The sequence below is a fragment of the Homo sapiens genome, chromosome 4 (genome assembly GCF_000001405.40).
Source record: "Homo sapiens chromosome 4, GRCh38.p14 Primary Assembly".
In the NCBI taxonomy this organism is placed as follows: Eukaryota; Metazoa; Chordata; class Mammalia; order Primates; family Hominidae; genus Homo; species Homo sapiens.
This window is the reverse complement of record NC_000004.12, coordinates 2,192,630-2,207,400: the sequence shown is the minus strand read 5'-3', so window position 1 is coordinate 2,207,400 and position 14,771 is coordinate 2,192,630. Positions and strand designations below refer to the sequence as shown.

The window sequence follows — 14,771 nt, the reverse complement described above, 5'->3', positions numbered from 1 at the left end:
TTGATTTTTTTAAAAACCTTTCCTTTTCATTTTCCTTTTCCTTTTCCTTTCCTTTCCTTTCCTTTCCTCTACTTTCCTGCACCCATCACTCAAGCAGTATACACTGCACACAATTTGTAGTATTTTATCCCTCACCCCCTTCCCACCCTTTCCTCCTGAGTCCCCAAAGTCCACTGTGTCATTCTTATGCCTTTGCATCCTCATAGCTTAGCTCCCACCTATAAGTAAGAACATACAATGTTTCGTTTTCCATTCCTGAGTTACTTCACTTAGAATAGTAGTCTCCAATCTCATCCAGGTCACTGTGAATGCCATTAATTCATTCACTTTTATGGCTGAGTAGTATTCCATCATATGTATATACCACAGTTTCTTTATTCACTCCTTGATTGATGGGCATTTGGGTTGGTTCCACGTTTTTGCAATTGCAAATTGTGCTGCTATAACCATGCACGTGCAAGTATCCTTTACGTATAATGACTTCTTTTCCTCTGGGTAGATACCCAGTAGTGGGATTGCTGGATCAAATGGTAGTTCTACTTTTAGTTCTTTAAGGAATTTCCACACTGTTTGCCATAGTGATTGTACTAGTTTACATTCCCACCAGAAGTATAGAAGTGTTCCCTGTTCACTGCATCCATGCCAATATCTATTATTTTTTGACTTTTTGATTATGGCCATTCTTGCAGGAGTAAGATGGTATTACATTGTGGTTTTGATTTGCATTTCCATGATCATTAGTGATGATGAGCATTTTTTCATATATTCGTTGGCCAGTTGTATATCTTCTTTGGAGAATTGTCTATTCATGTCCTTAGCCCACTTTTTGATGGGATTGTTTGCTTTTTTCTTGCTAATTTGTTTGAGTCATTGTAGATTCTGGATATTAGTCCTTTGTCAGATGTATGGATTGTGAAAATTTTCTCCCACCCTGTGGGTTGTCTGTTTACTCTGCTGACTATTCCCTTTGCTATGCAAAAGCCTTTTAGTTTAATTAAGTCCCAGCTATTTATCTTTGTTTTTATTACATTTGCTTTTGGGTTCTTGGTCATGAAATCCTTGCCTAAGCCAATTTCTGGAAGGGTTTTTCCCATGTTATCTTCTAGAATTTTTATAGTTTCAGGTATTAAATTTAAGTCCTTGATCCATCTTGAGCTGATGTTTGTATAAGGTGAGAGATGAGGATCCAGTTTCATTTTACATGTGGCTTGCCAATTATCTCAGCACCATTTGTTGAATAGGGTGTCCTTTCCCCACTTTATGTTTTTGTTTGCTTTGTCAAAGATCAGTTGGCTGTAAGTATTTGGGTTTATTTCTGGTTTCTCTATTTGGTTCAATTGGTCTATGTGCCTATTTTTATACCAGTACCATGCTGTTTTGGTAACAATGGCCTTATAGTATAGTTTGAAATCAGGTACTGTGATGCCTCCAGATTTGCTCTTTTTGCTTAGTCTTGCTTTGGCTATGTGGGCTTTTTTGTTGTTGTTGCTCCATATGAATTTTAAGATTTTTTTTTTTTTTTTTTTGAGACAGAGTCTCGCTCTGTCGCCCAAGCTGGAGTGCAGTGGCACAATCTCAGCTCACTGCAACCTCTGCCTCCTGGGTTCAAGTGATTCTTCTGCCTCAGCCTCCCAAGTAGCTGGGACTTGGGAGGTGCGTGCCACCACGCCCGGCTAATTTTTGTATTTTTAGCAGAGACGAGGTTTCACCATATTGACCAGGCTGGTCTCGAACTCCTGACCTTGTGATCCACCTGCCTTGGACTCCCAAAGTGCTGGGATTACAGGTGTCAGCCACCATGCCTGGCCTAGGACTGTTTTTTATAGTTCTGTGAAGAATGATGGTGGTATTTTGACGGGAATTGCATTGAATTTTTAGATTGCTTTTGGCAGTATGGTCATTTTCACAATATTGATTCTACCCTTCCATGAGCATGGGATGTGCTTCCATTTGTTTGTGTCATCTGTGATTTCTTTCAGCAGTGTTTTGGAGTTTTCCATGCAGAGGTCTTTCACCTCCTTGGTTAGGTATATTCCTAAGTATTTTATTTTTTTGCAGCTATTGTAAAAGGGGTTGAGTTCTTGATTTGATTCTCAGCTTAGTCACTGTTAGTGTATAGCAGAGCTACTGATTTGTGTACCTTAATTTTGTATCCAGAAACTTGGCTGAATTCTTTCATCAGTTCTAGGAGCTTTCTGGAGGAATCTTTAGGGTTTTCTAGGTAAACAATCATATAATCAGCAAATAGTGACAGTTGATTTCCTCTTTATCGATTCGGATGCTTTTTATTTCTTTCTTTTGTCTGATTGCTCTGGCTAGGACTTCCAATACTATATTGAAAGGAAGTCGTGAGAGTGGGCATCCTTGTCTTGTTCCAGTTCTCAGGGTGAGTGCTTTCAACTTTTCTCCATTCAGTATTATGTTGGCTGTGGGTTTATAATAGATGGCTTTATTACATTAAGATATGTCCCTTGTATGCCAATTGTGCTGAGAGTTTTAATAATAAAGCAATGCTGGATTTTGTTGAATGCTTTTTCTGTATCTATTGAGGTGATCATGTGATTTTTGCTTCTAATTCTGTTTATGTGGTATATCACATTTATTGACTTGCGTATGTTAGACCAACCCTGCATCCCTGGTATGAAACCCACTTGATCATGGTGGATTATCTTTTTGATGTGTTGTTGGATTTGGTTAGCTAGTATTTTGTTAAGGACTTTTGCATCTATGTTCATCAGAGATATTGGTCTGTAGTTTTCTCTTTTGGTGGTATCCTTTCCTGGTATTGGTATTAGGGTGATACTGACTTCACAGAATGATTTAGTGAGGATTCCCTCTTTCTCTATCTTGTGGAATAGTGTCAATAGGATCAGTACTGATTCTTCTTTGAATGTCTGATAGAATTCTGCTGTGAATCTGTCTGGTCTTGGACTTTTTTTATTTGTAATTTTTTTGTTACCATTTCAGTCTCACTGCTTGTTATTGGTTTGTTCAGGACATCTAATTCTTCCTGATTTAAATTAGAAAGGTTGTATCTTTCCAAGAATTTATCCATATCCTCTAGGTTTTCGAGTTTATGTGTGTAAAGTTGTTCATAGTAGCCTTGAGTGATCTTTTCATTTTTGTGGTGTCAGTTGTTATATCTCCCATTTTGTTTCTAATTGAGCTTATTTGGATTTTTTCTCTTATTTTCTTGGTTAATCTTGGTAATGGTCTATCAATTTTATTTATCTTTTCAAAGAACCAGCCTTTTGTTTCATTTATCTTTTTTTTTTTTTTTTTTTTTTTTTTGTGATAGAGTTTTGCTCTTGTTACCCAGGCTGGAGTGTAATGGCGCGATCTCAGCTCACTGCAACCTCCGCCTCCCGGGTTCAAGTGATTCTCCTGTCTCAGCCTCCCCAGTAGCTGGGATTACAGGCATGTGCCACCACACCTGGCTAATTTTTTGTATTTAGTAGAGATGGGGTTTCACCATATTGGTCAGACTGGTCTCGAACTCCTGACCTCAGGTGATCCACCCTCCTCTGCCGCCCAAAGTGCTGGGATTACAGGCGTGAGCCCCTGTGCCTGGCATTTGCTTCATTTATCATTTGTATTTTGTTTGTTTGTTTCAATATCATTGAGTTCTGCTCTGATCGTGGTCATTTCCTTTCTTCTGCTGGGTTTGGGTTTGGTTTGTTCTTGTTTCTCTAGTTCCTTGAGGTGTGACCTTAGATTGTGCTCTTTCAGACTTTTTGATGTAGGTGTTTAGGGCTATCCCAGAGGTTTTGATAGGTTGTGTCACTATTGTTGTTCAGTTTGAAGATTTTTTTTTTTTTTTTTAGACAGAGTCTTGCTGTGTCACCCAGGCTGGAGTGCAGTGGTACAATCTTGGCTCTCTGCAACCTCTGCCTCCCAGGTTCAAGCAATTCTCCTGTCTCAGCCTCCTAAGTAGCTGGGACTATAGGAGCAAGCCACCACACCTGGCTAATTTTTGTATTTTTAGTACAGATGGAATTTCACCATGTTGGCCAGGATGGTCTCGATCTCCTGACCTTGTGATCCACCTGCTTCAGCTTCCCAAAGTGCTGGGATTACAGGCGTGAACCACCGCGCCCGGCCCAGTTTGAAGAATTGTTTAATTTCCATCTTGATTTCATTTTTGAGCCAGTGATCATTCAGGAGCAGGTTATTTAATTTCCATGTATTTGTATGGTTTTGAAGGTTCCTTTTGGAGTTGATTTACAGTTTTATTCCACTGTGGTCTGAGAGAGTGCTTAATATAAGTTCAATTTTCTTAAATTTATTGAGGCTCATTTTGTGGCCTATCATATGGTCTATCTTGGAGAAAGTTCCATGCACTGATGAATAGAATGTATATTCTGTGGTTGTTGAGTAGAATGCTCTGTAAATATATGTTAAGTCCATTTGTTCCAGGGTACAGTTTAAATCCATTGTTTCTTTGTTGACTTTCTGTCTTGATGACCTGTCTGGTGCTGTCAGTGGAGTATTGAAGTCCCCCATTATTACTGCTTTGCTGTCTACCTCATTTCTTAGGTCTATTAATTGTTTTAGAAATTTGGGCACTTCAGCGTTAGGTGCATATATATTTAAGATTGTGATATTTTCCTGTTGGACAAGGCCTTTTGTTATTATATCATCTTACTGTTTGTCTTTTTTTTTTTTTTTTTTTTTTTTGAGACAGAGTCTTGCTGTGTCACCCAGGCTGGAGTGCAGTGCTACAGTCTTGGCTCACTGCAACCTCTGCCTCCCAGGTTCAAGCAATTCTCCTGTCTCAGCCTCCCAAGTAGCTGGGACTATAGGAGCAAGCCACCACGCCTGACTAATTTTTGTATTTTTAGTAGAGACGGAGTTTCATCATGTTGGCCAGGCTGGTCTTGAACTCCTGACCTCAAGTGATCTGCCCGTGTGGGCCTCCCAAAGTGCTGGGATTACAGGCATGAGTCTGGTCTCCTCTTTGTCTTTTTTAACTGCTGTTGCTTTAAAGTTTGTTTGTCTGATATCAGAATAGCTACTCTTGCTTGCTTTTGGTCTCCCTTTGCATGGAATGTCTTTTTCCACTCTTACCTTAAGTGTATGTGAGTCCTTATGTGTTAGGTGAGTCTCTTGAAGGCAGCAGATGGTTGGTTGGTGAATTCTTATCCATTCTGCAATTCTGTATCTTTTAAGTGGAGCATTTAGGCCATTTACATTCAACGTTAGTATTGAGATGTGAGGTACCATTCCATTCATTGTACTATTTGTTGCTGGTATACGTTGTTTTTTTTGTTTTGTTTTGTTTTTTTAATTGTATTTTTGCTTTATAGGGCCTGTGAAATGTATGCTTTAAAGAGATTCTGTTTTGATGTGTTTCCAGGATTTGTTTCAAGGTTTAGAACTCCTTTTAACAGTTGTTGTAGTGCTGGCCTGGTAGTGGCTATTTCTCTCAGCATTTGTTTGTCTGAAAAGGACTGCATCCTTCCTTCATTTATGAAGCTTAGTTTCGTTGGATACAATTGTTTTGTTTAAGGAGGCTGAAGATAGGGCCCCAGTCCCTTCTAGCTTGGAGGGTTTCTGCTGTTAATCTGATAGGTTTTCCTTTATAGGTTACCTGGTGCTTTTGCCTCATAGCTCTTAAGATTCTTTCCTTTGTCTTAACTTTGGATAAACTGATGACAATGTGCCTAGTCAATGATCTTTTTGCAATGAATTTCCCAGGTGTTCTTTGAGCTTCTTGTATTTGGATGTCTAGGTCTCTAGCAAGGCCAGGGAAGTTTTCCTTGATTATTCCCCCAAATATGTTTTCCAAATTTTTTAGATTTCTCTTCTTCCTCAGGAATGCCAATTATTCTTAGGTTTGGTTGTTTAACATAATCCGAGACTTCTTGGAGGCTTTGTTCATGTTTTCTTTTTCTTTTTTCTTTGTCTTTGTTGGATTGGGTTAATTTGAAAACCTTGTCTTTGAGCTCTGAAGTTCTTTCTTCTGCTTGTTTGATTCTAATGGTGAGATTTTCTAGAGCATTTTGCATTTCTATAAGTGCATCTATTGTTTCCTGAAGTTTTGATTTTTTTTTATATATGCCATCTATATCTATTTCATTGAAAATTTCTCCCCTCGTTTTTTTTTTTTTTTTTTTTTTTTTTGGAGTGGTAGGGGGACAGAGTCTCACTCTGTCACTCAGGCTGGAGTGCAGTGGCATGATCTGGGCTCACTGTAACCTCCACCTCCCGGGTTCAGGCGATTCTCCTGCCTCAGCCTCTTGAGTAACTAGGACTACAGGCATGTGCCACCACGCCCGGCTAATTTTTTGTATTTTTAGTAGAGATGGAGTTTCACCATGTTAGCCAGGATGGTCTCGATCTCCCGACCTCATGATCTGCCTGCCTTGGCCTCCCAAAGTGCTGGGATTACAGGCGTGAGCCACAGTGCCCGGCCTCCCCTCATTTCTTGTATCATTTTTTTGACTTCCTTAAACTGGGCTTTGCCTTTCTCTGGTGACTCCCTGATTAACTTAATAACTAACCTTCTGAATTCTTTTTCAGGTAAATCAGGGATTTCTTCTTGGTTTGGATCCATTGCTGGTGAGCTAGTATGATTTTTTGGGCATGCTGAAGAACCTTGTTTTGTCATATTACCAGAGTTGGTTTTCTGGTTCCTTCTCATTTGGGTAGGCTCTGTCAGAGGGAAGGTCTAGGACTCAAGGCTGTTGTTCAGATTCTTTTATCCAATGGGGTGTTCCCTTGATGTAGTCCTCTCCCCATTTTCCTAGGGATGTGGCTTCCTGAGAGCTGAGCTGTAATGATTGTTATCTGTCTTCTGGATCTAGCCACCCAGCAAGTCTACCAGGCTCCAAGCTGTCCTGGGGCTTGTCTGCACAGAGTCCTGTGATGTGAACCGTCTGTGGGTCTTTCGGTTGTGGATACCAACACAGTATTTGGGGTGTCTCCTGGGAGCAGGAGCAATCTGCTTCCTTCAAAGGATCTGTGGGTTCTTTCTGCTTTCCTGATTTATTCTTGTAGTCATTCTAGAGCAAAAGTTCACGATGCAAGCCTCCACACTCTGCTCTGTCTGTCCCAGTGGGAGCTGCAATCTAGTCCTGCCTCCCATCTGCCATGATCTCCTAATTCTCTCTGATTATTGGCGCTTTATAGTAAGTTTTGAAATCAAGAAGAGTGAGTCCTCCAACTTTGTCTTTTTCAAGATTCTTTTGGGTATTGTGCTTCCTTTGCTTGTCAGTTTTAGGATCAGTTTGTCAATTTATGCAAAAATCCAGCTGGAATTTTGATATAAATTGTGTTAAATCTATAGATTAATTTTGCGAGTCTTGCCATCTTAATATAATAGTATTGAGTTTTCTGATCCATAAACATGGAGTATCTCCATTTATTTAAAACTTTAATTTCCTGTAGGAATGTTTTATAGTTTTCAGTGTAGTATGCAAGTCTTGCTTTACCTTTCATTTTTTTAAAGGCATTTTGCTGGTTAAAGAATGTTAGTTGATAGTTTATTTTCTTCCAGTAGTTTCATAATATTACTCAACTGTTGGCTGGGTGTGGTGGCTCACACCTGTAATCCTAGCACTTTGGGAGAGCAAGGTGGGCGGATTGGCTGAGCTCAGGAGTTCGAGACCAGCCTGGAACACAGTGAAACCCCGTCTCTACTAAAATACAAAAAAAATTAGCTGGGTGTGGCAGTGTGTGCCTGTAGTCCCAGCTACTCTGGAGGCTGAGTCAGGAGAATTGCTTGAACCTGGGAGGTGGAGGTTGTGGTGAGCTGAGATTGCGCCACTGCACTCCAGCCTGGGCGACAGAGCAAGACTCCATGTCTAAAAAAAATAAAATAAAAGTATATATATACCATCTTCTGAGTTGCTTTATTTCCCACAAAGAAATCTGCTGTCATCCTTATCTTTGTTTCTATCTATGTAATGTGTTCTCTCGCCACCCACCCCCTTTTATCACTGGTTTTAAGCAAATGATGTTGATGTATTTTTCTTGGTGTAGTTTTCTTCATGTTCCTTGTACTTGAGGTTTATTGATCTTCTTGGTTCTAATGATTAACTTGGGGATAAAGGACAAACATTATTATGTTGAGTTTTTAAATCCTTGAGTATTATATGTCTTCGTTATTTAGGTCTTCTCTGATTTCTTTCATCAGCATTTTATAGTTTTCAGCATACATATCCTGTATGTATTTTGTTCATTTATACTTAAGTATTTCACTTTTTAGAGTTTTATAAATGGTCGTTTTAAAAAATTTTATTTTCACATGTTTATTGCTAGAATATAAAAATATATTAAATTTCTGTGCTTTGATCTTGGTTCCTGCAACCTTGCTAAATTCACATATTAGCTCCAGGATTCGTTTTTTATAGGTTCCTTTAGATTTTCTACACAGACATTCATGCCATCTGTTAATAGGGAAAGTATGATGCTTCCTTTCTGATGTGTTTGCCTTTTATTCCTTTCTCCTATCATATTGCCCTGGATGAGACTTCCATTATGATGTTGGACAGGGTAGAGACCAGATTTCGAGCATAAGGTCATGGGTTTGGCTTTTGGCCCTCAATTGTCATTAAAAAACTATTCATTTACAAGTTTAATTTTAGGCCTTTTCTCTTTCTCTCTGCTTAATTTTAAAATGTATGTCTTTCTACAACAGATATGTTGTCTGGGTTTAATTTATTTTGTTGTGTTTCCACAGACCCCCGTTTCTTCTGTTAGAGGAATTGTGGTGTTAGTAAAACGCCAAGCAGAGGGTGGCCATGGCTGTCCAGATGCCCCGGCCTGTGGTCCTGTTCTGGAGGGCTTTGTGTCAGATGATCCATGCATCTACATTCAAATAGAGCACTCTGCTATCTGGGACCAAGAACAGGAGGCACATCAACAATTTGCCCGGTAAGAAATCTTCACACATGGGCTCACACCCTACTTACATGCCTGCTTTATACTAATGGAAACTTGCTCAAGGTCCAGTTTTAATAGTTTAAACTTTTAGAAGTTTTGTATGGGCACATGAAAATAAAATGGATCCAAGTGATAGAAATCTCTGCAAATACTGGCCCTCTCTCTCCCAGAGAGTATCTGGAATGGAGTTCCGTTCTTCTGTGGGAGCAGCCGGCTCCAGGACTTGAAGCAACTTCACAGTGAGAAGCTAGGGAGAAAAGCATCACCCCCAGACCCTGAAAATCCCCTGTCACTGGCAGAGTCCCAGATGATTTTCCTTATCATACTTGTTCATTCATTCACAGCATTAGAAAACAAAGTTATCACTGCCTGCAAACAATAAATTGTCCTTAATACCACCAAGGATGGGACTAGTTTCAAAGCTCCATGTCTGTGGAAAGAGGCAAGACCTGTCTCACCTCTTTGGACCGGCCCTCTTAGAATCACAGAATTTTAGAGCAGGCGGGGTTGCTCCTGCCGTCCCTTCTGGATTCTGAAAAGCCCTTTCTGGGATGGATCTTGTACTCTTCCTCACTGTTTCTTTGCTTAGGTTATCCACATGACTTGGGCTTCTGCCTCAAATGGAGGTATCCACTGCCTTCCCAGCCCTCTGATTTAAGGCCAATTAGCCACCCTGGAAGAGGCAATCAAGGCAGCTCCGGAGGAAGTTGGGCCCCGTTACTAGCCTGTCCATGCTTCATACAGGCTCACTGGGCTCTGGGTGATTTTAGGTAACTTTTGGGGAGAAGGGGAATGTGTGACAAACATAGCATTCAGCTCCCAACAGAACCCTTCATTTTCTTTTTATGTAATTTTCTCTTTAAAGAACAACTGGTCAGGTCTAGTGTATGGAGAGCCCTTGTGAGGACAGAGCCCTAATATCTGGATGATGTTTCTGAATTTAGTTGACATTGTCCACTTGGATGTCTAGTGGTCATTTTAGGCAAACATGTCCAAACTGAACTCCTGTCTTCCCTGGACCCTGCCTCCTGTGGCCTGGCTGTCTTAGTCAGTGTCAGCCCTCCATGAGCTTAGGCAAAAAGTCCTGGGGTTATCTCTGACTTCTCTCTACTTTCCACAAACCATATCAAGCTCTCAGCAAGTCCTATTGGCTCTGCCTTCAAGTGTAGATAGAATCTGCCCTCTGCTTATCCACTGCGTTGCTGTTACTCGGCACAAGTTGTTACCTCCTACTGGATCACAAGAACTTCCACATTGGACTCCTGCTTCCACCTGCCCCTTCAGTCTGTTTTCTGTGCAGCACCCAGAGCTGGCCTGTTAAAGCATAAATCAGATCACATCACTTCCCTGTCCCAAACCCTCAAACAGCTCGTGCTTCACTCTGAGGAAAACCCCACATCACTGCTTCTTGGTCTTCTGGCTAAGATCAAGTGTAGAAAAGCCACAGGACCTATGAAGGCCCTCGCCCTCGAGGTCTGCTTACTCTGGCCCCTCCGCTGTCTTCAACCTCACCTCCTCCTCTCTCCCGGCCTCTCAGTGCATTCCCACCTCCTTGCCGTTCCTGACCATGTGGTGTGCGCCTCTACCCAAGGGCCTGGTGCCACCATCCCTCCCTGCAGCATTCTCCCAAATAGCTGCATGGTTTACTGCCTCATTCCTTTATGTTTTTCTCTGAACAAACAAAAAGTAAACTATGAAAACACAAAGGTACAGAGTAGTATATACATCCACCCAGGCCAACATTATCAAAGGTTTTTCCTTACTTCCTTCTGTCCCTTTCCTGGGGAAGGGGGAGAGGACTGGGATTAAAGAAATTCCCAATCTATTGTTTTGCCCTCTCATGACTCTAAAAACCATGGGCTTTTTTTTTTTTTTTCCAGAGCCACAGTGCCATTTTTAAACTTAACAAGTTGTGTACGCAGTCCAAATTTGAAGCTACCTGATTGTCTCAAAAATGTCCTTCTACAGTTGACTTGTTGGGATCAGGACATAGCATTGGGTGGCCATGTCCCTAGTTTTTTCTAATCTGGAGCGTTCCTCAGCCCCTCTCCCTATCTTGGAGGAGGTCCCGTGTCCTGGATTCATTTGTTTGCCTCATCATGAAGTTCTTTCACTTGTTCTGTCTCCTCTTCTCCATATTTTCTGTAAACTGGAGTTAGCTCTAAATGCTTGATTATTTGGGTCCAGCTTGTTTTGCGCAGCACTTCCTAGGTGGAGCTGTAAGCTTCATACTCCATCTGTGATGCAGTTGGATGGCCGGATTTAGCAAATTAAAATATAGGACACTAAATTTGAGTTTCAGATAAATAACTAATTTCTTAGTATACGTATGTCCCAAATATTGCATGGGACATACTTATACTAGAAGAATACATCCCTAAAAAATATTCGATTTTTTTCAGATAATTATTCATGATTTTTCTGAAATTCAGACTTAACTGGTATCCTCCTGACTTCCCTTAGTGATGCAATTGGGTTGTCCCAGTTTTCATGGTGCTGAGAGGGAGCAGTGGGTTCAGGTGGTGTCAACACGATCCCTTCCTTATAAACTTCTCCCCCAAACTTTCCCTTAATGGTTTTGTCCATTGATTAGGATCATCTAAATCACTTATTTAATTCCGGCTAGTAAGATGGTGATTTTTCTAATTCTATCATTTCTTCCACATTTAGTGGCTAAAATTTCCTGTAAAGAACTTTCCTCTACCAACTAGGCTTTTGTTTACCTTATCCTTCATGTCTTTCCTCAAGAGTTACCTTGGCTAGGAACAGTGGCTCAGGCTGAGGTGGGAGGATGGCTTGAGGCTGGAGTTTGAGACTAGCCTGAGCAACATAGTGAGACCCAATCTCTACAAAAAATTTAAAAATTACCCGGGTACAGTGGCATGTGCCTATAGTTCCAGCTACTCTAGAGGCTGATGTTGGAGGATCGCTTGGGTCCAGCAGTTTGAGCCTGCAGTGAGCTGTGATTGCACTACTGCACTCTAGCCTGGATGACAGAGTGAGGCCCTGTCTTAAAAAAAAAAAAAAAAGAATTACCAAGCTAAAAAAAAAAAAACAGAATTACCTTATCAGACCTTCCTTGACCACCCTGTATGAGATGGTACCCCACTGCCAACCCCACCACATGACTTTCATTTGTGTTCAGTAGTGTGTTCATTAATGTATCCCCAATATCTAAGAACAATGCTACAAAGCAAGTGCTTAATCAATATTTATTCAATATTATCATTGAATGAATGAATGTTGAGGCTTAATTTTTATAAGTTCTAGGACAATCAAATTAATACATTGCCTCAAGTACCATAAATTGGAAATAATAATCCCAATCCTATGATTATATCTTTGAGATTCAAAATAAATTTAAATAAATCACATTTAAATTAGCACACATACTTTTTTGCACAAAAACATGTTTAATAACATTTATTAAATGACCTGTGCAAGGCCTTTCACATACACACTCTCCCTTCACCTTCACATTCTCTCTGTACGTTTGTTATACCTTATTCACTCCATTTTACAGAGGAGGAAGCCTCAAATCTAGCTTTTATATATATAAATATATATATGTATGTGTGCATGTATATACATATACATAAATACATGTTTTATTTTAAGAGCCAGAGTCTCTCTTTGTCGCCCAGGTTGGAGTGCAGTGGTTGTGATCATGACTCATTGCAGCCTCAACCTCCCAGGCTCAAGTGATTCTCCCTCCTCAGCAACCTCACCCCAGTAGCTAGGACTTTAGGACTACAGGCATGCACCACCACGCCTGGCTAATTGCCATTTAGCTTACAAGGTATTCTTTTTGTTGTTTGTTTTATCAAGATAAAAATAATCTCTTATTAGCGGAAGATAGTGTAGTTGGTAGATTACCTCATCACAGAACTCTTGAGTTTCAAGGATGAAGGAGCAGTAAAGGGAAGTGATCTCCATGGCCCCAGTTCTTCTCCTTCATAAGCTCTTTACTCCCTCTTGGACACCCTCCTCACCGGTCCAGCCAAGCCAAGATCTGAAGCTGTGTTATTGGCGCTTTACCCTCCCTACCATCCTGGTCGCCCTTTTCAAGGGAAACCAAGGTGAAATCACACAAAGTGCAAAAGGCCTACAAATGTCTTTCTGTGGAACAAGTCCAAGCAAAATCTAACTGCAGTTTGGCTAAGTGTGCAAAGCTCATTAGGCTCTTGATTTCTTTCTTCCTCAGCTCTAACCAAAGAATCTTAATGTGTTAATGAACATTTACTATAAAGAGGGATTGATGGCTTTGGTAGCTTAGAGTTTGGACCCTGGCAGCAGGAAGATATGGTCTCAGATCCCAGCATTGCCATTTGTTAGTCATTTAACCCTGGCCAAATTGCTTAACCTCTTCAAGACTAAGTTTTCTCATCTGTAAAATGGTTCTAGTGCATGCCAGATAGGATAGTGATGAGGTTTCAGTGCAACAATCACTTCACACACAATGCTGCGAAGTGTCCAGCGTGGTATCTGGCACATGGTAAGTATTCAGTCAATTTTAACAATTGTGAGTCCCATATTCAAAGTGCTTATGGTGTAATGGAGAGACAAACGTTCAAGGCACATTATAATACAGCAAGTGTACTTCCCACTGTACTACATGTGTGGATAGGAGTACAGAAGAGATACAGAAGAGGGAGCAGCCCCCTGCCTGGGGAATTAGGGCATACCTTCCTGAAGATGGCCCTTGAACAGTTTGTGAAAACTGTGGGAAGAGAATTGTAGTCAAGAATACAGTATATACAGTGACCCAGGAGCAAAGCAGGACGTGGCACAGCCTGTGGTGGAGGAAAGGGAATTTAGTGCGACGAGAGGGTAGAATGTTTGAGGGGAGCTCTGGGAGAACGGGCTAGAGAGTCATCTTGGGGCCTGGCTCTAAAGAGCCCAGAGTAGGTGTACTTTGCTCAGGAATGTAGGTCTTATTCTACAGGTAATGGGGTGTTTCCCAGGGATAAGCACTTGACAGCTGCGTGACCTTGGGTACCTTATCTCGTCTCTCTGTGTCTCACTTTCATCATCTGTAAAACGCAGATGATAAATAACAGTGACCTCTTGGAATTCTTTAGTGAATGTGTGTATGTGCTATCTAAGTGATAGCTGTTAGTTGAGTAGTAATAATATTTTTCCAAGGTCGAAAATCCCAAATTAATGTTTAAATCAGTGAATTTCTTTTCATCTTCTAGGAACGTGCTATTTCAAACAATGAAATGTAAATGTCCTGTTATTTGTTTTAATGCTAAGGATTTTGTGAGAATAGTGCTGCAGTTTTTTGGCAATGATGGCAGTTGGAAGCATGGTAAGTTATATTTTTTATTCTCTCTATAATTTAACTCTTCAACTGTGACTCCTCCTATGAATGGGAGAATGGTGAGGGCAGCCATGTCACACAACTCCTGGAGGACCTGGCCACACAGACTGATATGCCTCCTGATGGGCCCTAGGCATGGGGAGGAAGTTTTCCTCCATGTTTCTAGGTTATTTGAATTTTTACAAGTATATATTACTTTCATAATTTAAAATAGGAAAGAGTTAACTTATGTAGCATGGTCAGTGAGATTTCTTGTTACCACAAATAGCTTATAAACTTTCTAAGAATTAAACTACAGTCCAGAGTAATTAACATCAAAACAATATAGGACCTACCTTTTATTTAAAATAGTAAAGATTTTAAATATATATATATATTTTTATTTTTTTAGAGATGGAGTCCAACTTTGTTGCCCAGGCTGGTCTCAAACTGCTGGCCTCAAGCCATCCTCCTGTCTCAGCTTCCCAAAGTGCTGGGATTATAGGCGTGAGCCACTGCACCGGGCCTAAAATAGTAAAGTTTTTTTAATAACTTTTTGAAAACTGGATGGACATGGCCGGGC

The 14,771-nt window shown here is 40.6% G+C and overlaps 1 protein-coding gene across 1 annotated transcript in view; it reads left to right on the top strand.

Annotated features, from left to right (window-relative positions):
• The window catches only part of POLN (DNA polymerase nu), a 170,204-nt gene that overhangs the window by 34,721 nt on the left and 120,712 nt on the right, over window positions 1–14,771 (top strand). The window contains exons 6-7 of the mRNA NM_181808.4: window positions 8,684–8,877; window positions 14,085–14,197. Coding sequence (NP_861524.2) covers window positions 8,684–8,877; window positions 14,085–14,197 — 307 coding nt within the window. The remainder of the gene's footprint in view (window positions 1–8,683; window positions 8,878–14,084; window positions 14,198–14,771) is intronic.